This window comes from Homo sapiens, chromosome 14 (genome assembly GCF_000001405.40).
Source record: "Homo sapiens chromosome 14, GRCh38.p14 Primary Assembly".
NCBI lineage: Eukaryota > Metazoa > Chordata > Mammalia > Primates > Hominidae > Homo > Homo sapiens.
In genome coordinates this window covers 50,486,615-50,511,685 of record NC_000014.9, presented here as the reverse complement: position 1 = coordinate 50,511,685, position 25,071 = coordinate 50,486,615, and the positions used below count along the sequence as shown (strand labels likewise).

Below are 25,071 nucleotides of genomic sequence, written 5' to 3'. Positions count from 1 at the left end.
GTACATATGGGTAAGATTCATAGTGACTCATAGTGATGTTTCGATACATAAAATTTGTAGTGATCAGGAAAATTAGCAAATCTATAATCTTAAACATTATCCTTTCTTTGTGTTGGGAACATTTGGTATTTTCCTGGCTATTTGAAACTATGTAATATATTATTGTTAACTATAGCTATCCTGTAGTAGTAGTATAGAACACTAAAATTTATTCTTCCTATCTAGCTATCGTTTTGTATACTTTAACAAATTTCTCCCTATTCCTCCCTTCCCCCTACCCTTCTCAGCCTCTAGTATTCTCTGTTCTACTTTTTACTTTTATGAGATTAACTTTTTTTAGCTTCCACATGTGAGTGAGAACATGTGATGGTTAACTTTCTGTTCCTGGCCAATTTCACTTAACAGAATATCCTCCATTCCATCCAAGTTTCCTCAAATGGCAGCATTTCATTCTTTTTTGTGGCTAAATAGTATTCCATTTTGAGCATATATAATCAGATTTTCTTTATTTATCATTGTTGGACACCCAGGTTCATTCTGTGTCTTGGCTGTCGTGAATAGTGCTGCAATAAACATTCCACTGTATGGATTTACCACAGTTTGTTTATGTATTCACCTATTGGAGGACATCTTGATTACTTCCAGTTTTGGGTGACTGTGAATAAAGACTGCTTTAAACACTTATGTATAGGTTTTTATGTGGACATAACTTTTTAGCTCAGTTGGGTACATGCCAAGGAGTGGGGTTGCTGGCTGGCTCATAAGGTAAGACTATGTTTAGCTTTGTGAGAAACTGCCAAAGTATCAAGGTTTGTGTTCTGTCCATATGTGTTCTTAGGACTCAACCTAATTAAAAGTTTGGAAGGATATACTCTAAACCATTAACAATAGTTATTTTGGAAGATGAGATTGGGATGGAGAGGGACTGTCATCTTTCACTGATTTATATTATTTTAATTTTTCTACCACAAAATCTTACTTTTGTAGTAATTTTTTTCAAATAATTTTCTTCAAAATACTTTAATTCATCATAATATGACTCAACATAAGTGAAAAAAGTAAGACTATTTAAAATAATGTATTGTCAGTTTCATAGCATTTTCTAGTTGTGGAAGATTTTAATTTTTTTAAGAGAGCAATAACCTTCCTACAACCATGATTGTCTATTCAACAAATTTGTAGAGCATCTACCATGTGGCACAGCCTTTCAAAGGATCATGCGTAGAGCTAAGATGACAACACACTTAATCCAGCCTTAGGATACCAGGGAGACTTCCTGGAGGAGGTGATAACTAAACTGAATTCTGAAGGACGAGTCTGAGTTAACCAGGCCAAACGGGGAGGGAGGCGGGGAAAGGAGAACGTACCAGAATGAGGACAGTTTTCAGATCAGAGACCGAGCTATTCACTTCTGATTAATCTGACTAAAATCAGAATTAATTGTTCCAAACTCTCAGAGAAGCATATTAGATCTTTTCATGTTGTTGACTCTTGTTTAATAATTGGTAACCGAGAAGAATGGAGTCATTTTCTTTTGGTTCCTCAAAGTAAGTGGCAGTGAATGGCAGAATGCATTGCCCAAATGCCTGTTTTTGCTTGGCATAATGAATTGCCTGAAGATATTTTGTTGTTGAAAATGTGTTAGCATCAGTCATTGTCATATGAGTTGAACATTGTATTCTTTACCTGAAATGTATAATCTTGAATTTTTCAACCGTCACAATTTGTGAGTGTACTTTTGTAACTTTCTTGTGCCTTTATGGCACTTATACTTAAATCTTTCTTCTCAATTTGTAAACTTATACTGTATGTTCAAAGATGTTTTTCTGTTTTCTATAGGAGTCCAGTGAAAATTTTAAATGAAAAAACAATTTAAATGATCTCTTAGGTGGATAGGGAAAGAGGGAAAACCAGGGTACTGACATTTAGGCATAGAAGTGGCTATTATGTTTGCTAGATTATGACGTAAGTGAGTTAAAATAAGAGTTCATTGAATCTGTTTTTTTTTTTTTAATTCCAGTTCTTTAGATGGATTTTAAACATATTAGAAGGCTACTAACTTTTATTCGATAATTTTTTTCAAAATGTTTAAAATACTACTGTTTTCTTTGGATCAAATTCAACTCTAAGATTATTTCTTTAAGACATTAAATGTGTAATAGTTCACCTTCTGTTACATTGAAAATTATCACGGAGAAATTTAATGTGAAAGAGGATTAGTATATTGCTTTGTTAGCTGTTTTCAGTAGATTATTTTGTTAATCTGTTTCAACAAAAGTTACCACTGTTGCTGATCTGTTAAATAATACACAATTAATACTTTTCTCTAGTATCTGTTGCATTTAAAAAAGAAAAAGAGAATTCTCGAATTCTGAAAAGGGGCAGTGAAATATTGTCATCAGAATACATTAGGTATTTCTCCTAATGCTATCCCTCCCCCTGCCCCCCACCCCATGACAGGCCCCTGTGTGTGATGTTCCCTGCCCTGTGTCCAAGTGTTCTTGTTGTTCAATTCCCACCTATGAGTGAGAATATGTGGTGTTTGGTTTTCTGTCCTTGTGATAGTTTGCTCAGAATGATGGTTTCCAGCTTCATCTGTGTCCCTGCAAAGGACATGAACTCTTCCTTTTTTTATGGCTGCATAGTATTCGATGGTATATATGTGTCACATTTTCTTAATCCAGTCTATCATTGATGGACATTTGGGTTGGTTCCAAGTCTTTACTATTGTGAATAGTGCCACAATAAACATACATGTGCATGTGTCTTTATAGTAGCATAACTTATAATCCTTTGGGTATATACCCAGTAATGGGATCACTGGGTCAAATGGTATTTCTAGTTCTAGATCCTTGAGGAATCACCACACTGTCTTCCACAATGGTTGAACTAGTTTACACTCCCACCAACAGTGTCAAAGTGTTTCTATTTCTCCACATCCTCACCAGCATCTGTTGTTGCCTTTTTTTTTTTATACTTTAAGTTCTAGGGTACATGTGCACAACATGCAGATTTGTTACATATGTATACATGTCCCATGTTGGTGTACTGCACCCATTAACTCTTCATTTACGTTAGGTGTATCTCCTAATGCTATCCCTCCCCTCTCCCCCCACCCCACGACAGGCCCCAGTGTGTGATGTTCTCCACCCTGTGTCCAAGTGTTCTCATTGTTCAATTCCCACCTATGAGTGAGAACATGTGGTGTTTGGTTTTCTGTCCTTGGGATAGTTTGCTCAGAATGATGGTTTCCAGCTTCATCCATGTCCCTACAAAGGACATGAAGTCATCCTTTTTATGGCTGCATGGTATTCCATTGTGTGTAAGTGCCACATTTTCTTAGTCCAGTCTATCATTGATGGACATTTGGGTTGGTTCCAAGTCTTTGCTATTGTGAATAGTGCCACAATAAACATATGTGTGCATGTGTCTTTATGGCAGCATGATTTATAATCCTTTGGAATGGAGGGATGGAGGAAAATCTACCAAGGAAATGGAAAACAAAAAAAAGCAGGGGTTGCAATCCTAGTCTCTGATAAAACAGACTTTCAACCAACAAAAATCAGAAGAGACAAAGAAGGGCATTACATAATGGTAAAGGGATCAATTCAACAAGAAGAGCTAACTATCCTAAATATATATGCACCCAATACAGAACACCCAGATTCATGAAGCAAGTCCTTAGAGACCTACAAAGAGACTTCAACTCCCGCACAATAATAATGGGAGACTTTAACACCCTACTGTCAACATTAGACAGATCAACGAGACAGAAAGTTAACAAGGATATCCAGGACTTGAACTCAGCTCTGCACCAAGCAGACCCAATAGACATCTACAGAACTCTCCACCCCAAATCAACAGAATATACATTCTTCTGAGCACCACATCGCACTTATTCCAAAACTGACCACATAGTTGGAAATAAAGCACTCCTCAGCAAATGCAAAAGTACAGAAATTATAACAAACTGTCTCTCAGACCACAGTGCAATCAAACTAGAACTCAGGATTAAGAAACTCACTCAAAACTGCTCAACTGCATGGAAACTGAACAACCTGCTCCTCAATGACTACTGGGTACATAACGAAATGAAGGCAGAAATAAAGATGTTCTTTGAAACCAATGAGAACAAAGACACAACATACCAGAATCTCTGGGACACATTTAAAGCAGTGTATAGAAGGAAATTTATAGCACTAAATGCCCACAAAAGAAAGCAGGAAAGATCTAAAGTTGACACCCTAACATCACAAAAGAGCTAGAGAAGCAAGAGCAAACACATTCAAAAGCTAGCAGAAGGCAAGAAATAACTAAGATCAGAGCAGAACTGAAGGAGATAGAGACACAAAAAACCCTTCAAAAAATCAGTGAATCCAGGAGCTGGTTTTTTGAAAAGATCAGCAAAATTGGATTCTAACTCTTGACTCACCCCTGGCAGCAGGATGGCCTTGGGCAGGTCTGCTTTACTAAACTAAGTCTTTTTGTGTTTAAATAAATAGAATTAAGTAATGTATATGAAAGTTCCTGCAAACTGTAAAGCATTACAAACATAATTGCCATCATTATTACGGAATTCATCTTCTAACACATTTTATGATTTACTGAACAATATGCCCAGGAAGTCAATTATCACTGCTTGTTCTGGCCATATTTTTTATACCTGAGTCTCACTGGCATGTGAATTGGCTGAGAGGTGGACAGGCTAAATCTACGTGCACATAGCCTTTTATGACCCAAGGGAAATTTTAGGAATTAGAAGAAGACGTGAGGCTAACAGACAGTTCTTATGTCCAATGGCAGAAAGAGGAGAGGGTAGGAATGGTGTGAGGCATCTGGCTGACCACTGCTCCCCTTTTTGTAAATGTGTTCGTAGTTAGGAGAGAAGTAACTATAACTATGAAAGAGAGGAGTTAAAAGGCCTGCTCTTCTTTCCTGAGACACCTTCTTACCCTATTCAGTAGATTTAGTGAGGAAAATGTGAACTTATCACAAAGTAGTTGCAACTTCTGCTGTTGAAAATTATTTTCTTGCCAGGCCTGGTGGTTCACTGTAATCCCAGCACTTCAGGAGGCCAAGATGGGCAAATTACTTGAACCCAGGAGTTTGAGACCGGCCTGGGCAACATGGCGAAACCCGTCTCTACAAAAAGTACAACAGTTAGCTGAGTGTAGTGGCAGGTGTCTGTAGTCTCAGCCACTTGGGAGGCTGAGGTGGGAGGATCACTTGAGCCCAGGAGGCAGAGGCTGCAGTGAGCCGAGATCCTGTTGCTGCACTCCATCCTGGGTGACAGAAGTGAGACCCTGTCTCAAAACAACAAAAACCAAACAAACAAAAGACAAATTATTTTTCTTTCTGTTTGTGTCTTTTCCTCTGTATATCTCTCCCCCATTCTATTCTTTTTCTCACCCTCTGTATGTCATTTTTAAAAGGATCTCTTTGAAGGCACTCTTCCCTACTTTATCATTCTTCTATTCCTTTCCCTTTTTCTCTTCTTTCCTCAGAAAATTTGATTTATTTAATTTGGCAGATTAGTATAACTATACTTTTCTATTTTATCATGTCTTTTTCTTGTTTTTTTCTGCCATTTGAAAGTTGATATTCAAATCTAATATAGTAAATGAAAAAGGTCATAAATTAGTAAATTCCATTTCCACATATGATGTACCACGGGGTACGATGAAAATGAGCACTCACATTAACAAAGAGAGTATAGTGGTAAAATGTTTTTAGACTATTTGATGGTATGTGTTCATATTCACAACCTTTGACCTAGTAATACCGTATCTTAGAATCCATTTAAAACAAATATGTCTTAAATAATGAAAAGACTATATGTAACATCCTTTATGTCCAACAATAAAGAGGATTATTATATGGACTATGTTATAATCATTTAATTTTCACCAACAATAAGTTTTGGCAGACATGGTTTTAACATCCAAGGTTTTAACATCCAAGGTCGATGACAGTAAAAATTCGCACAGTGTTTTAGAGCAATATGGCAACATACCCATTATAAGTCCACATACCTTTTGGTCTCACAATTGTATGTCTAGGTTGCCTTCCTTATAAGCTGATCTATGGTAAAATATTGGTAATGATATTCATTGCAGTGCTAATTATAGTAAGTTTGTTGATATTGTGTTAAATAGTAAATAGTTTCTCTTCTAGACATTTAACTGAAGGAAATAAGGCTGTGGATAGATACAAAGCTAAGATATATGTATCCCTATTTTTATAACTTGAAAATAATATTAAAATTGTAAATGCCCAACAATAGAGGGTTGGGTAAATTATATATCCTGTCAGTGGAAAATCAGGCAGCATTTGTAATCATGTCTTAGAAGACTATGATGGGGTCATCTTCTTCCATAATGCACATGCATATACATATGTGTACCAGGAAAGAGATGCATGTACACTGAAATGTTCACTGTTTTTCTCTAGGTAGTTAGATACAGATGATGAAAATTTTTAATGACCTATGATTATGTTTTCTGATATAAATAAAACCCATGAGATTTTTAAAATTAAAAATATTAACTAACCCGAGGCTGAAGAAAAGCCTTGGAGGAAGTAGACCAAATTTTAAACAGGAGCTGTTTTTGAGTGGTGGGACTATTGGTAATTTTTTAAACACTTTTGTGTCTTATCTATATTTTTCTTTAATGGGAAAATGAGTTTGCTCAGCATTTTATTGGAAATATTTTGTTTTTTAGTTTTGATAAAAGTATGGTTGATAAGCAATTAACATAGTACCAAGTAATTTTAATGTAATTAACAAGCTTTTAATTAACAAGATTTTTGTTTTTATTTTATTTTTAGGCCAGAAATGTACACACAGGAGAGCTGGCTGCAGTAAAAATCATTAAATTGGAGCCTGGTATGTGTTAAAACCCTCAAGACAATTTTTGAGGGTTTTCCATATTTCTTTCCTTGTTTCCCTTCTTCCCAGAAGAAGTCTTTATATGTTCTATCAGGTCAGTAGAATATCTTCAATTAAATTACCCTGAAGGTGGTTAGTTAAAGGTAAGTTTGATGTGACAGTTTTGTTGCCAAATAAAATTTGACATGTACACATTCAGAATTGGAAGACACATTGACACTGTTAAAGTAATTTTCTTTTAAGATGATAGTGAAGTATTTGAACTTCAGGTTTAGCTTTTATGAGAATTTGATTAGGAAAGTATTCAATGATTTTTTGGGGTGAATATTTGGGATAATGACATTTGTTTGTCAGCTATTCCCTTTGATTGATTTAGGTTTGTTAATTCTGGTCTTAGCTTAATGCTTATTTTATTAACACTTCTGTGTGTCAGAAGACTGCTTGTTTCAAAACACATTGAATAGTTTGCTTTGCAAATAAAACTATAGTCCTGGAACGGTTTTATGATTTTGATATCCTAAAAGTTTCTAATGAGTGCAGTAGTAGTTTTTGACCAGGTAAGCGAATATTTGGTGGTATGTTCATTTGCTGGTTCATAAGCTTAGGCACGTAGGATAAGTTTGTGACCATAATTATGCCAGTTTCCTAGTTTGAGCGGTTAAAATGACTTTGCATTTCAAACACAGTATTTGAATCATTATACATGTGATTCATTAGAGAGATAATAGTACTGAGGTAGCATATGCTGGAACACTTTAAAAATAAGCTTTCAGATATGTCCCAGTATCTTTTTTGTCCTGGCAAATAGAAATTGTTATAATAATACTCTTTCAGGATCCTCTTATTAAGTGCCACCTAATAAGTTTAAAATGATCTCCAAAATGTCACTAACACAAATAGGGAATATAACAGAACTATACAAGCCTTTGCCTGTCCTGGAAAAGTCACTAGAGCAAATATTCAAATTATGTTCAAGGATGGTTATTCAAGTTATGTCCAGGTACTGGCGTGTGCTCTCAGAGAAAACAAAGATATTTATCCCTTTTCTGTCTTAAGCGAGTGCAGTGGGCTTGTTACAACACGGTTTCACTTACTTGACTTGAGGGTATGGCTTATTTTTCATTAGGTTGATGCATAAATAATTGCAGTTTTTGCCAACCTAATATTATAGCAGTTTTTGCCAACCTAATATTATAGTTCATTATAATGAATTAATGAGTGTATTTTTTAAATCCTGCAATTCTGAATTCTCAATAAGCCATATATTAGAACTAACATAAGAAGGCAATTCAGTAAAAAAGAAAAATATGTGTATGATTACTTAAAATATAAGGATTAAATGCAAGGATCATAAGACTCTTTTGAAAGGCTGGAATTTCTCACTGCCTTGTTTTGTAAAAGCTACTGATTATTTTATGTTAGATGTGACCCATGTATTAAGATTGAGTAATATTTCAACCTGTCCCCCAAAAAAGAATAACATGGAAGTTCAGTAAATATTGATGATGTGATCTTAGTATTTGGCCATTTAAAAATTTTTTTGGTTGCCTATTCTTATGCCTTGCCCCAGTCCTATCAGGTTATTTGTATTTTATTATTGATTTTTAGATGCTGTTTGCATTTTGGGGATAGTGACTCTTCATCATGTATTTTACACTTCCCACAATTTGTCTTCTGTCTTTGCACTCTGCTTATACTTTTTTTTTTCCATGTGGAAGTGTTCTTTTTTCTCTCCGACAAATTTGTCAGTCCTCCTTTCTCTATTCCCCATTTCCTTGTACTTAGGCCTTTTCTCCTAGATAATTATAACAATTTTGAACTGTAATTTCTTCCAGTTTTTCCTTTTTTTCCTTCCAAAATTTAAATATTTGCTCAATCAGGAGCAAGTTTGTTCTAAGGGATGAAAGAGAACTCTCTCTATGTATTTTTTCAAATGGCTAGTTTCCCAAAGCCATTACTATAGATTCAGTCTCTTATCCACAGATTTGAAGTGCCTTGGTTGTCATAAACTAAATTTCCATGTAAACATAGATTTTGTGTTCTGTTCCAGTGACTTTCTTTTTTCTATTCCTACTTCAACACTATCCTGGTTTTGATTACCAAAACTTTTGTTGCGTATTATAATCTTCACTCTTTTTATTTTTCAGGTATTTCCTGTTTGTAAAATTTTTTTCTTCAGAACTTTAAAATCATTTTTATCAAGAAGAAAAAAGGCACATAGATTAATGTAGGATATTTGGCATTTTGACAATAGTAAAGGTTTTTTCTTATTCAGGTCTTTAGGAAAGTTTTTGCCACGTCTTCATATTTATGGTATTTCTCGCTATTGGGAATGGCTTCCTTTTTCCCTCTTACACTGTCTAATTGGTTATTATAGATATTTACTTCGCCATTGATTTTATTGGTTATATTTTGTCTCTGGCAGTCTTACAGAATTCATATTTTTCTGGCAGTTTTCAAATGTTTTTCGTGGTTTTTGCAACTATACGGACATACATAGAATGTTATTTTGGCCCAGACTTTCACATTGTAGGATAGTGCTTCCAGTGTTATTAACCCATTTATGCTGGAGTTTGCAGTTTTTTGAATTGCAGACGTGTGAAAAATCAGACCTTGGTGATGACCTTGAGCCATAGGCTATAAATAACTCCCACGTGCTTAGCGTTCCCATAATGGAACAGTAGGCATAAATGAGTTCTGACAGAAGTGTTGATCATCTTCCACTAGAGTGATTTTGTCCATTTCTCCTTCCATTTGTGGCACATCTGCTTAATGTATTATATGTGTGTCAGTTGACCCATAAAATTCATGTTATATTTTCATTTCTTAATAAATATTTATTGAATACCTAATATACGCCAAGCTCTGTTCTAGAGGATAGGAATGTAGAAGAGAACAAAAAGGCAAAGACCTTGTTCTCACGGAACTTGAATTCCAGTGGGGGAGTTAGAATAATGGAATAAATGTATAATGCATTAGTCACTCATATTGGTCAGTGGCTTCAGTCTTTCCCTTACTATTGTGACTTGCATCCTCCATGTTTAATCATTCACTCCCTTAATGATCTTTGATACCCTTTTTACCTTGAATATAACTTTATCTGACATTGATATTGCCAACCCTCCTTTCTTTTTGTTTATATTTATGTGGCATACAACAAATGGATAGAACTGGTATACTTGGGCCTATCATTATCCTTTCTAGGTTGTTGATGTTTCTCTTGTAAAAAATTATATTTGACTTTTGTTTTATAACCCAATCTGAATTTTTCTTTTTTTAATATGTGAATCTGTCCACTATTATATTGTTTGGAGAGATGTTTAATTTTAATTCTGTTGTTGTTTTTGTTTTTAATATTTTCTTAAATTTTAAAAAAAATTATAGCTGGGGGTTTCTTTTATTTTTACTGCTGATAATTTGTAAGATACAATTCTGTAGTTTTGTCAGAGAATGGCTTGTAAGACCTTGAATAATATACTTAAATTTGTGGGTGTTTTAGTTTATCAGTTTAAGAAATAAAACAGTCATCTGTTGAATTCTTGGTTTACAGATTTTGAAATTTGCATATTTATACTCTTCCTGCCTCATCATCCCCCCAATTTTCAACTGTTCATTGGTTTATTTGGGGATTTTAGCCCAGAAACTTTCTGATTGCACTGGGGTATGAGTATGTATTACTATGTGTACCTTCTTTTAAGAAATATAATATTTATAATTTATAAATGCCATGACCAATTATTTAGACTTAGTTTTATATTTAGTAGATTTACTACCCACCATTGGTCTTTTTATGCCATTTCCTTTCCATTCTCACCTACTTAGTATCAACTATCAATAGGCTAAGTCATATTATCAAAAAGATTTTCCCGTATTAGGAATATTATAATTTAAATCCATAAATTGATTATTCTTCTCAAACCTGCTTTTCTTCTGCATTTTGCTAAGCAGTTAACCCATCCACAAATGTAGGCATTAACCTCGATTTCTCTCTTTTATTTGTGCTCAAGAATCAGTCTGTCAGCAAGTTCCCTCAGCTCTACCTCCAGAACACATCCTGAATCCATCTACTTGTCTTTGTTACCCATCTCCACCCTTCTAGTGCCTGTTGCCTTGCCCACACCTCCCATTCCCCACCATCTATTTTCCAGAAAGCCTCTGGAGTGAACTTTTAAAAACATAAATCATATCATCACTTCTGCTTAACACTTCCCTGAAGCTTTCATATCAACTTAGAAAAATACTCAGATTTTTAGCCTTGTTTATAAAACCCTACATGATCTGTTCTATCCACCTCTCTGAGCTCATCGCATATGTTTCTGCCTACTCTACTATGCCTCTGTTTTCTTTTTATTTAAACAGTCCAAGATTAAAGCAATTCTTCCCTTTTGCCTGAGGTAACTGTTTTTCAAGATCTTTGCTCTGAAGGCTCCTGGTCATTCAGACCTCAGCTTAAATAAATATCATATCCTCGGAGAGGCCAATGCCCTTGTTATTTTAGTTCGCTGCATAGGACACGTGAGTGCCTGATACTTTTCTTGTTTGTTTATATGTATACGTGTATATATTGTGTTTGTCTCTCTCCTAGAATGTAAGATCAATGAGAATAGCGATTATCTATCCTCACTGCTATATTTCACCACTTGGGACAGTGTAAGCATGTAACGGACACTGCAATAAATATTCCTCCTATAAAAGAATATTACAGATGTCTTTCTGTTGCCTTTGAATGAGAATGACGATTTGACTAGGTATAAAATGATTGCATCACACGTTCTTCTCCCTCTACCCTCAAAAAACTCTATAGACATTTTTTTCCCTTGAATATTGTTGGAAAGAAATGTAAGGCCTAACTGATATTTTTCCCCTGGTAGATAACTTGCTGTTACTACCTGATTGTAGCAAAAGCTGGCATTTCTTTCTTTGTCTTCAAAATTAGTAATCTCAACAGAATATAACTTGGTCTCAATAATTTTCTACAGATTTTTCTCCCTGAGACACAATGAGCTGCTTTTTTCATCTGCAGTTTTGATTTTTTCTTTATTTCAAGAAACTTTGTTTTAAGATTCTTGAATTTATTTCATTACTTTGGAAAGTAATGAATTTTTAAAGTCTTCCATATCAGTGACTTTTTTTTTTTTTTAAACAGGGTCTCTTTCTGTTGCCCAGGCTGGAGTGCAGTGGCACAATCTGGGCTCACTGCAACCTTTGCCAACCGGGTTCAAGTGATTCTCGTGCCTCAGCCTCCTGAGTAGCTGGAATTACAGGCATGTGCCACCACACCCAGCTAATTTTTGTATTTTTAGTAGAGACAGAGTTTCGCCATGTTGTCCAGGTTGGTCTTGGACTCCTGGCCTCAAGTGATCTGCCCGTCTAGGCCTCCCAAAGTGCTGGGATTACAGATGTGAACCACCATGCCTGGCCCCCAATACTGCTTCTATTCCTTGTTGGTTCCAATGTTTTTATTAGTTCTATATAAGTATTATTTTTACACAGCTTTCCCCCCTTAACTCTACCAGCATTCTTTCTGTTTCATTTTGTTGCCTTAATTTTCCTGTACTCTTTTTTCCCCCTTTCATATCCCTGAGAGTTTGAAGCACTGTTGTCTTAAATTTTCTTTCAAAACAAATTCTTCGTATCTTCAGCATCCTGTATTTGTCTTTTTTTTTTTGCTGTGGAATTTTTGTGGAAAATCAGTGGACTTTTAGCATTGTCAGTAAAGCCAAAGTAGATGGTATTTTTCACATTTTTGGAACAGACTTAAGGGTATCTTTAGGTTAAAAATATGATGGTATGCTAATGAATTTTCCCAACATTCAGTTCAGATACTTCAAATAATTTTGGAGACTGCTGTATTTCAAAAATGAATTCTCAACTGTATTTAGCAGCTTTCAAAAACTTGCACTAAAGCCAGCATAATACAAAAGTGCTTTCTTGTATTGATTTAACAGATGAACTGGTTTAAAATTGTATTTAGACATGAAAAGATAATTATTTGCCAGTGTGACTTAGAAAAAAACTTATGTCTGGTAATACATAAACAAAAATTTTTTTAAGTAAATGAAATTCCAGCTGTAAACTTAACATGCTTTTCTCCATGGTGAAAAATAGGATATTAAAGTTTATAGTAATTTTAGAGTCCTAAATTGTATTTACTGACTTGCCCCTGGCAATTTAATTTTATAATGCTATATTCAAAATTTTGCTGAAACAGATTGCTTTTGAAGGTCTTCCTAATAGTCAAAAAAATGCTACAGTAAGCCTTAGAGTTGAAAATAGGTTAGCACAGAAAATCGCGTTTATTAATTAGCCACAAAAATATTTGTAAAAGAAAATGAAGTCAGCATTCCTTCCTATGTTTGTATGTTCTTGTTGCTCTTTGTATATATAGGCAAAATGATTATTTTCAGGAATGATTTAACCATTTCTATCTCATTTTTATAGTAGATACTTACTAAAGTCACCACCTTACAAATGGTAACATTAAATAGAGTTTGACTTACCAGTGATTAGCATTGAAAATAATACCACCAGTGATACCATTGTGAGTTTTAGTTGCATTTTTCATCTCTTTGATTAGACATCCAGAGTGCCCTATAAGCCCAGGCAGATACTGTGATGGTTCATGCCACCATGTTTTCCTGTCTTCTGTCTGAATTTCAGCCTACCATCTAACTCATTTTACAGATGCTCAGTTTGCCCAACAAGTCTGTAGCTATTGGTGGCCAACAGCCAGAGCAGGAACAAAGTTTGTGGGAAAACTTACCATCAGAATCCTACTTTCCCTTCCCTCTCTCCTCCTTCCATTACCCCTCTTTTATGGCAAAACTACAAAATAATATTTTAAGCTTATGAAAATTACAGTTTATTTAAATATTTTCGGCCTTGCTTACAGGGATGTAATTTAATACATCACTACCCAGGATGATTAATGCAATACCCTTTTGGTTTGTTCCCTTGCTTGTCTTTTAAAACGGTAAATCGGAAATACTTATAAAATAGTTTAGTATTTTTTAATAAAATAAGTTAAATGTGTTTCTTTAGACAGTTTTTGAAATAAATAGGAATCTTTAAATATCTTTGAATAGATGTTTAAAGCTTTCCTTGGACTTGCAGGGAATACTTTAACTTGTTTCCTGAAAGTATAAGCAGAGAAGGTAGTGTAAGTGTTAAAAAGTCAGGAACTATACGGAGGTTTAAACCAGCCATTAGTTTGCCTTGTTCTTGAAAGAACTTGGCAAAGTTCTTGAAAGAAATCCCAGGGTAGGCTGTTTGGCCAAATAGGACAAGTGTCATCTATTCAGGTTACGTGGTATGTTCTTTTCAGACTTTCTATTCAAAAACCTAACAATCTTGATTTTTAAAAATATTCTGTAAAGTAAAATATTTGTATCCTGTCTTCACTGTTTGGACAGTTCAAGTCTGAATTAATGGAAAATGTTAATTTGAAGGCACAAATACATGCCCCAAATGTCATTTTATTGGTTTTAAATAATAGATACAGAAAATGAATAAAGGTTAGTGTTGTTTACTAATGTCTTCTGTTTAACATTGTACATTCATTATGCTCAATGGAAAAAAACCATATTTACTTATTATGAACCAAAACAACCATATTCACAAGATTGCCACCATTGTGTCACTGTATTTTTCATAGTTATTTAAAAATTAGCTGATTGAATATTTAGCATTGGATTGATTTTCTGAAAAAGTACTGCTAATTTATTCACTGTATAATGAACTACCGCTAAAATTAGTTTTCGTTTTGATAACTATCTTTAACATTATTTCATAAACTTCAGAAATGTATCTAGTACTTACTAATACAGAAAACTTTTGCCATTGCAAATATTAATTAAGAGATCTAATTTTTACATTGTAATTTTGCTCTAAATGATATACAAATTTTTAGGTTACTGCATATTTATTTTAAATACTTGTTTTAAAAGTTTTTATTTTTATTTTTATTTTTATTTTTATTTTTTTGGTCTGGGAGCGGTGGTTCACACCTGTTGTAGTCTCAGCACTTTGGGAGGCTGAGGTGGGAGGATCTTTTGAGCCCAGGAGTTCAAGACCAGCCTGGGCAACATGATAAGACCCAGTCTTTACAAAAATTTTTAAAAATTAGCAGAGCACGGCAGCCTGCTTCTGTAGTCCCAGCTACTCAGGACACTGAGGCAGGAGGATCACTTGAGCCCAGGAGGTTGAGGCTTCAATGAACCATGTTCACATCACTGCGTTGCACCATGGGCAACAGAATGAAATCCTGTCCCAAAAAAGAAAGAAAGAAATATATATATAATAATATATGTGTGTGTGTATATATATATTCATTTAAACATCCAGCTGTAGTGAAATGATTAAATTAGGCTATGCTCACATCATTTTAATATTTTTAAAATTTCAGTAAAAAACACATAAACTTTACCATCTTAACCATTTTTGTTTTTTTGCTTTTTGTTTTGTTTTTGTTGAGTTGGAGTCTTGCTCTTGGCACCCCGGGTGGAGTGCAATGGCACAATCTTGGCTCACTGCAACCTCCACCTCCCGGGATCAAGCCATTCTCCTGCCTCAGCCTCCCGAGTACCTGGGATTACAGGCTCCCACCACGACACCCGACTAATTTTTTATGTTTTTGGTAGAGACAGGGTTTCACCATGTTGGCCAGGCTGGTCTTGAACTCCTGACCTCAGATGATCCACCTGCCTCGGCCTCCAAAAGTGCTGGGATTACAGATGTGAGCCACCATGCCCAGCTGTCTTTACCATTTTTAAGTGCATCTTTTAGTAGTTTTAACTATATTTGCGTTGTTGTGAAATAGTTGTCTAGAATTTTTCATCTTGCAAAACTAAAACTCTATATTCATTAAACAACAACAACTCTTTGCTGCCTCCCCACAGCCACTAGTAACCACCATTCTACTGTTGGTATCTATGAATTTGGCTCCTTTAGATACTTTATATAAGTGGAATCATACAGTATTTGTCCTTTTCTGACTAGGCTGTTTCACTTAGCATAATGTTCTCAAGGTTCATCTATGTTATAGCATATGACAGGATTTCCTTCCTTTTTAAGTCTGCATGGTTTTCATATACTACAGTTTTATTCATTCATCTGTCAATAGACATTCTGTCAAACTGGGTTGCCTCTACCTCTTGGCTATTGTAAATAGTGCTGCTATGAACATGGGTGTACAAATCTCTCTTTGAGATCCTATTTTCAGTTCTTTTGGATATAAACCTAAAAGCATGAATTGGTCATATGATAGTTCCACCTTTAATTTGTTGAGAAATACTGTTTTCTGTTGCAGTCTCACCAGTTTGCAATGTCAGTAACAGTATACAAGGGTTCTAGCTTCTCCACATCACCTCTAACCAGTTTTATTTTCTGCTTTTTTTAATTGTAGCCATCCTAATGGATGTGAAGTGATATCTCATTGTGGTTTTATTTGAGTTTCTCTGATTAATGATGTTGAGCATGTTTTTATGTGCTTATTGGCTGTTTGCAGGTCATCTTTGGATAAATGTCTATTCAAGTCCTTTCCCATTTTTAAAATCAGGTCATTTGATTTTTTCTTGTGAGTCGTAGGAGTTCTTTATATATTCTGGGTATTAAACCCTTCTTAGATACAGGATTTGAAAATATTTTCTCCTGTTCTATAGGTTGCCTTTTCAACTCTGTTGATTTTGTCCTTTGGTGAACAAAATTTTTTAAATTTCATTTGTAGTCTCGTCTGTTTTTTGTTGCCTGTGCTTTTGGTATCATATACCAGAAATAACTGCCAAATCTGATGTCATGAAGCTTTTCTTCTGTGATTTCTTCTAGGAGTTTGATAATTTGGGGTCTTACATTTATATCTTTAAATCATTTTAAGTTTTGTGTATGGTTTAAGGCAGGGGTCCAACTTTATTCTTTTGCATGTGAATATCCAGTTTCCCCAAACCATTTGTTGAAGAGACTGCCCTCTCCCCATCAAGTAGTTCTGATACCCTTGTTGAAGATCATTTGACCATATATACTACATGAGGGTTTGTTTCTGGGCTGTCGGTTCTATTCCATTGGTCTTTAATATATCTGTCTTTATGTCAGTACCCTACTGTTTTGATTATGGTAGCTTTTAGTAAGTTTTGAGATCAGGAAGCATGAGTCTTCCAACTTTGTTCTTCTTTTTCAAAATTGTTTTGGCTATGGAGAGTCTCTTAAAATTTTATACAAATTTTAGAATGATTCTTTTTTATTTCTGCAAAAAAAAATGTTACCAGAATTTTTCATAGGGATTGTGTAGCTATTTATATCACTTTGGGTAGTATTGACATCTTAGTAATATTAAGTTGGGTTGGGCACGGTGGCTCACGCTTGTAATCCCAGCACTTTGGGAGGCTGAAGTGGGCGGATCACGAGGTCAGGAGTTCGAGACCAGCCTGGCCAATATGGTGAAACCCGTCTCTACTAAAAATACAAAAATTAGCCCAGTGTGGTGGCATGTGCCTATAGTCCCAGCTACTCGGGAGGCTGAGGCAGAAGAATCACTTGAACCCCGGGAGGCGGAGGTTGCAGTGAGTTGAGATTGTGCCACTGCACTCCAGCCTGGGTGACAGGCGAGACTCTGTCTCAAAAAAAATAAATAAATAAAATAATAATAATAATATTAAATTTTTCAATCCATGAGCATGGGATGTCTTTCCACTTATTTGTGTCATCTTTAATATCTTTCAGCAATGTTTTATAGTTTTTAGTGCACGAGTCTTTCAGTTCCTTAGTTCAGTTTATTTCTAATTGTTCTTTTTTTTGTTTTTGTTTTTGTTTTTTTTTGCGATGGATTCTCACTCTGTCGCCCAGGCTGGAGTGCGGTGGCATGATCTCAGCTCACTGCAACCTCCACCTCCCGGATTCAAGTGATTCTCGTTCTTCAGCCTCCCAAGCAGCTGGGAGTACAGGCGCCCACCACCACGCCCAGCTAATTTTTGTATTTTTAGTAGAGACAGGGTTTCACCGTGTTGGCCAGGCTGGTCTCTAACTCCTGACCTCAGGCGATCTGCCCGTGCTGGAATTACAGGCGTGACCCACTGCACCCGGCCTAATTGTTATTTTTGATGCTATTGTAAATAAATTGTTTTCTTAATTTCCTTGTCTGATTGTTCACTGTGTATAGAAACACAACTGATTTTTCTGTTTTGATTTTGTATCTTACAATTTTGCTAAATTTGTTTATTTGTTCTAATAGATTTTTTTAATGGACTTTAGGATTTTCTATACATATGATCGTGTCATCTGTGAACAGAGATTTTTTAACTTATTTCTTTCCAGTTTGGGTAACTTTTATGTGATTTTTAATGACATGAGAAATGCTTACACAATATTGATTAGTGAAAATAGTCTGTGAAACTCTGGAGTATGGTCCAAATTGTGTATGTGATATGCAGAACTTCATAAGTATAGTACTTACAGGACTGGAAAAAAAATCAAAATGCTCATGGTGTCAGCCTGAGCAACGTAATGGAGATCATGTCTCTACTAAAAATTTTTGAAAATATTAGCCGGATATGGCAGCATATACCTGTAGTCCCAGCTACCTGGGAGGCTGAGGCAGAAGGACTGCTTGAGCCCAGGAGTTTGAGGCTGCAGTGAGCAATGATCGTGTCCCTGCATTCCAGCCTGGGTGACAGCAAGACCTTGTCTCTTGAACAAACAGAAAGCTAACAGTGGGTGTCTCTGGTACATTTATGGGTGATTTTTATTTCATTCTCTTTTTTTTTTTCCTTTTTTTTTCTTTTTTTTGAGACAGAGTCTCAGGCTGGAGGGCAGTGGTGCAGTCATAGCTCAGTGCAGCCTCAAACTCATGGGCTCAAGCAGTCCTCCCACCCCAGCCTCCTGAATAGTGGGGATTTCAGGCATGAGCCACCGTACGTGGCTTACATTCTTTATATTTTTCTACATTGGCTTACTTTTCTAAGATAAGTATATTAATGTGGATACAATAATATGGAATAAAACAATTATTTTTAGTTTAAGAAATGGTAGTTTCCATTATTGATACCTATATAGGATAGGCATGAGTCTGATAGTTTTCTTTACATATTCTGGATATTAACTTCTCAACCAGATATATCTTACCAGATACAGGATTTGCAAATAGTTTCTCCTATAGGTTGCTTTTTCACTTTGTTGGTTGTGTCCTTTCGTGAGCAAATTTTTTTTTTTTTTTTTTGAGATGGGGTCTTGCTGTGTTACCCAGGCTGGAGTGCAGTGGTGATCATAGCTCACTGCAGCCTTGAACTCCTGGGCTCAAGTAATCCTCCCAGCTCAGCCTCCTGAGTAGGTGGGGCTACAGGCACACGCCAGCACATCTGGCTAATTTTTGTGTTTTTTTTGTGGAGACAGAGTCTTGCTATGTTGCCCAGGCTGGTCTTGAACTCCTGGGCTCATATGATCTTCCCACTTTGGCCTTCTAAAGTGTTGGGATTATGCGTGAGCCTCTGCACCCAGCCAAAATTTTGAAATTTGAGGCAGTCTCATCTCTCTGTTTTTGCTTTTGTTACCTGTGCTTTTGGTGTTGTATCTTGGAAATCACTACCAAATCCAGTGTCATGGATTTATTAATAATTCTGTGAGATTAGTTAAAAATTAGAGGATTAAAATAGGAAATACAACTCGAAGCATCACGTTAATAATTTCAACATGAACAATGAAGTAGAAATACAGTAGACATAAAAAGCATAAACCAGTTGATATTTGATGAAATAACAAATGGAAAATACTCACTAATATACTTTTTGTAGAATTATTATAATGTGCTAACTTTCTGAAAGCTCAGGCCAGGTGTGGTGGCTCACACCTGTAATCCTAGCACTTTGGAAGGCTGAGTCAGGCAGATCGCCTGAGCTCAGAAGTTCGAGACCAGCCTGGGCAACATGGCAAAACTCAGGCTCTACAAAGAATACAAAAAATTAGCTAGGTGTCATGACATGTGCCTGTAATCCCAGCTACTTAGGAGGCTGAGGTGGGAGAATTGCTTGAGCCCAGGAGGTTGAGGCTGCAGTGAGCCAAGATCGTGCCACTGTACTCTAGCCTGGGCAATACAGTGAAACCCTGTCTCGAAAAAAAAAAAAAAAGAAAGTTCAGTATGTAATGTTAGAGGATAGTTTTTGGTATTAGTTCATGCTTATAGCTTGGAACACAGTTTTAGGAGTTTAAGAGATAATAAGCTGCGTGCTGTGGCTCATGCCTGTAATACCAGTGGTTTGGGAGACCAAGGCTGGTGGATCACCTGAAGTCGGGAGTTTGAGACCATCCTGGCCAACATGGTGAAACCCCGTCTCTATTAAAAATACAAAAAGTAATCCCAGCTACTCTGGAAGCTGGGGCAGGAGAATCACTTGAACCCAGGAGGTAGAGGTTGCAGTGAGCTGAGATCACACCACTGCACTTTAGCCTGGGTGACAGAGCGAGACTCCATCTCAAAAAAAAAAAAAAAAGAGAGATAATAGACTTTGTGCTCAGGAAACATAGCTATCCACATAATTATAGACATTGGTTGAATTAATTACCTCAGTATTAAATCTGTGATCTACTGTCATATTTTTGGAAGGAGGGGTGTGATGAATCTTACTGCCTTTTATCTTGGCACAACCAGGTTTTAATGCCTAGTACCTTTTTTTGAAAAAAAATCTGAGGGTCTGCTGCTTTTAATCCCTTCCCAGGTACTATTTGTTAGGACTCATTTGATTGCAAGAAAGTTTTAAGAGGGTATTGAATCCAAATGTAATGCAGAGGACCCTTATACACGAGGGGTGCAACCGACTTACTCCAGTTCATCCCCAGAGTATGAAGGCTTAACTGCTTTATGTCAACCTGCAGATAGTATTAGGAAACTCTAAAATTCTAGTCTTTTGCTTCCCAAGATTTCTACTTTTTTCTTACTATGTTTTTACAAGTGTTTTGAGTGTGGCATTAATAATGTCTAACTTGATCCTATTTTGATGCACTGATGGTAGCAGAAGCAAGTGGTAGCTAACACTGGCATTGGCTAATTGTATTCAGAGCTGTGAAACTGGGAGCAAAGACCAGCCCCTCAAGGTGACCCCAGATACTAAGGCTGTATCTTTGTAGTGTAACTTGTTTTAGGGGGTTGGCTGCCCACTCCAGTTAAAAATTGTAGTTTAGAGTTGCAGTGTGCCTGCTAGGCAGAAGGTGGCTTAGAAACAAGGGGCAGAAAACTTGGCCTTCAGGATCTTGTACTTGTACACTTTTTAGCAAATCTGTCTCTTAATGTCAGCCTTGAAACACTATGTTGGAGGCTGTGATCATTGCTCTAGTGGTTACTGAACATGCTTAATTTAAACAGTAATACAGTGGTTTTTCAAAAAACTTTAAAACACAAACCCCCAATGTTAACATCATTTAGAACCCAGCATGCTATAACAAATATCTACATTTCTTAGTTAATTTTTATAGCTACCTCCCAGGGCTCAAGCCAGTTTTAGGAGCTTTTAATAATTTATCATTTTAATTAGGACTAGTTCCAGTGTCTACTGTCTCAGATACAGAACTACCATCCCTTTTGGCTCTACATATTTCCCCTTTCTGGCTGAAGGGGGTCATTTTTTTTTTTTTCTAAGAGTATCAGGCTGAGTTCCCTTACACACACACACACACACACACACACACACTCTCACTCGCTCTCTGTCTCTCTCTGTCTGTCTCTCTCTCTCACACACACACACACACCCATGCATACTTGAGGAGCCCAAGGAAATAAGCATCTGTCTTCAGTGGTTCCCATCTCTGTCTGCGGTTTGGTAGAACCTGCAACTGCCCTTACAGAAAGGAGGAGAAAAAAAACAACCTGTACTTTCGGTCTCTAGTATTTCTCCCTTTCCTGTGTAAGGATGTACTCAGCAGCCAGGTTTCCAGTAGGACATCTCTAGGAATCTTAGCCATAGTCATTCATGGCCTCTTGTTCTAATATTTCACTTTTATTATGATTCTGCTGGTAACTGACAACTGACCGAGTCTCCATGGTTCACATTTTCAAGAGATCAAATGTGATTAGCTCTTGCCAGGCTATGGATTAGTTCTTTTCAAGTCAGTTGTTCACCCTGGTTCCTTTGGCTAGTACAAGGTCACATGACACAAACAGTGCCATGGATGGAGGTAGATTTTGTTAGGAGGGCTATGATCAGACTGGTAGTGATTAATCCTTTAGAATAAAGTGTCATTAACACAAACTGTAAAGTCAGGAAGAAAAATTGGTTTTTAAGAGAAGATATTGGTACTTCAGGGCATGTATTAAATGTAAGGTACTAGCAAGACATTCAAATAGAAATAATAGGTATATAGTCAAAACTGAAGATAAGATAAGGGGCTCTGTGGTTCTCAACTAGTCTCATCCTTACATTGTCAGGGTGTGAAGAATAAAATTTCTCTTCTTTAAGCAAGTACCTTTTTCTTTGGAGACAGACTCTCACTCTGTTCCCCAGTCTGAAGTGCAGTGGCGTGATTATAGCTCACTGCAACCTCAAACTCTTGGGCTCAAGCAGTCCTCCCACCTCAGCCTCCTGAGTAGCTGGGACTACAGGTGCATGCCACCATGCCTAGCTTATTATTTTGGAAAGACGAGATCTCTCTATGTTGCCCAGGCTGGTGAGCAACAGGGCTGGAACCTACAAGCCTAAGTTCTCTGAACCTAGTGGATTTTATGCCACATCTCAGTGGAAAGTAATATTAATTTGGCGTATCACCCAGTTAAAAGAATAAAATCAACTATCCGAATTTCAGATTATTTTTATGAGGCTGATGTAGGCCATCAAAGAATAGCTACATCTGTGATAACCATATTTAGCTTACTTACCTCTCAGGATAAACTACAAAAATAGTAGCTTTATGTAAGTCTCTTCCATGATACAATTTCAGTTCACAGAAGATTTTACTCTCTTTGCATTAAAGTTTCAAATAATATAATAGTGAAGCAGATATACGAAGAATATATCTGAAGGTGGAGTTCAAACATCTGACTTATTAATAACCTGTGCTTGGGAATTCTTGCTTCCAGCTACAGCTGTAAAAAGTTGTCACTCACTCTCACCAAGACCTCACCTTGCCTGATAGAAACCTCACATAGCTGCTGCTGGAAACACAGTTGCAGGGTGGAACCCAGAACTCAAACTACTACCAAGAGTTAGTAGTTTGTTACTAGTAATATTAATTCAGCCATATTATTGACTTTTATGGGTCAGTTTAAGAATTTACACACAATTGAGAAGTTAGGCACCATATTATGTGAAGCTACTCTTGTGAGAAAATCTGTTCTAAATCCCAGACTTAACTGAAGAATTTCTCAGCATAGCTCAGATATAAGGCTTCTGTGCACATTTAAAAGTGAGTAGGTGGGAATCCAAAGAATAACATATTGATATGGTTAGGCTTTGTGTCCCCACCCAAATCTCATCTTGAATTGTAATTCTCAGGCATCAAAGGAGAGGCCTGGTGGGAGGTGATTGGATCATGGAGGTGGTTTCCCCCATGCTGTTCTCATGATAGTGAGTTCTCATGATAGTGAGTTCTCATGAGATCTGATGGTTTTATAAGTGTCTGACAGTTCCTGTAACACACACACTCTCTCACCTGCCACAGTGTCAGACTTGCCTGCTTCCCCTTCTGCCATGATTGTAAGTTTCCTGAGGCCTCCCAAGCCATGCGGAGGTGTAAGTCAATTAAACCTCTTTTCTTTATAAATTACCCAGTCTTGGGCAGTTCTGTATAGCAGTGTGAGAATGGACTATATATATATGTGTTAATATATATACACATATATTAACAAAATTATGTGCTGCTTTACTCTTCTTTGTAATTCATGTTTTTTCAAACATGAAAGATGGGCTAGAATTTAGCCAGTTTGAGGGAAATTAGCATGCGTAAAGGAGAAGTTTTAATGCTATGATGGAAAAGGCTCAGATGGAGGAGTGATATAAAAGAAGAAAGTATTCTGGTGCCCGCGAGTGAACACAGAAAGCAGGGCCTTTCCTCTGCACCTAGGTAGGCAGACTTTCTACTGTCACCTTCAGGGCTTACTCACAGCTGGCTAAACTGATAATGAGGAACAGGAGATCATCTTCTATTTTGGATTATCTCCTTTGATCCTCTTTTATTGTAAAACCATTAAGAAGCACATTTTCAATTGTAACAAGTAGCCATTCGTACACTTATGTTTAAGGTATACGTAACCATTTATGTAATACATGTTTTCCCAGGTTACAAATAAAAGGTAGATTATCTTTAAAGGTTTTCTCTCAGACGTTCATTCAGTTAGAAGATTGTACCCTCATTTGGCTTCCCTAACCCTTTAAAATTGCTAACATGAAATTCTGTAACTGAACTATCAGTTAATGTTTACGTGAATTGACTGTTAAAAAAAGTTCCAATGATTATAAATAAATGTGTCATATTAATAGTTAAACTAAATGTATGTATGGGTTTTTGTTTTGTTTTGTTTTTGAGGTGGAGTCTCGCTCTGTCGCCAGGCTGGAGTGCAGTGGCATGCTCTCAGCTCACTGCGACCTCCGCCTCCCAGGTTCAAGCGATTCTCCTGCCTTAGCCTCCCGAGTAGCTGGGACCACAGGCACCTGCCACTATGCTCAGCTAATTTTTGTATGAAACTAAATAGATGTTTAAACCACATCAGTAGTGATAGGTTCTTTAAAAGCTTTTAATGGCATGACAAGAATATTTAAAGCTCTGTTTTGGTTTTGAACTGAAAAAGTTGAAAGTATAAAGGGAAAAAATATCTCTGACTTGTGTGAAGATTTTGTTTATTTATCTAAGACCTAATTGCTGAGTTTTTCCTTCTTGGCCTTGTATGTTTTTCTAAGATGACTTTGAGTTAGAGCCAGAGTCTGTCTGGACACCACTGAACTTTTTTTTAGTTGGGAGAGGGAGGCTCACTATGTTGCCCACTGATTTTAAACTTGAAGTTCCATTTCAAGTTTAAAGATTACAGGTGCCACCACCACACCCATCTAATTTTTGTGTTTTTAGTAGAAACGGGGTCTCACCATGTTGGCCAGGCTGGTCTTGAACTCCTGACCTCAAGTGATCCGCCCACCTCGGCCTCCCAAGGTGCTGGAATTACAGGCGTGAGCCACCCTGCCTGGCCTAATGTAGCTTTTTCTAATTAACTCATAAGGGTT

At 36.5% G+C, this 25,071-nt stretch overlaps 1 protein-coding gene across 13 annotated transcripts in view; it reads left to right on the top strand.

Annotated features, from left to right (window-relative positions):
- MAP4K5 (mitogen-activated protein kinase kinase kinase kinase 5) overlaps window positions 1-25,071 on the top strand; it is a 142,606-nt gene that overhangs the window by 49,441 nt on the left and 68,094 nt on the right. For all 13 annotated transcript variants that reach the window (XM_047430898.1, XM_047430897.1, XM_047430893.1 and 10 more), the window contains one exon: window positions 6,829-6,886. Coding sequence is in view for 12 of the 13 variants with exons in the window: in XM_047430897.1 (XP_047286853.1) it covers window positions 6,829-6,886 (58 nt within the window). In the remaining variant the exon portion in view is untranslated. The remainder of the gene's footprint in view (window positions 1-6,828; window positions 6,887-25,071) is intronic.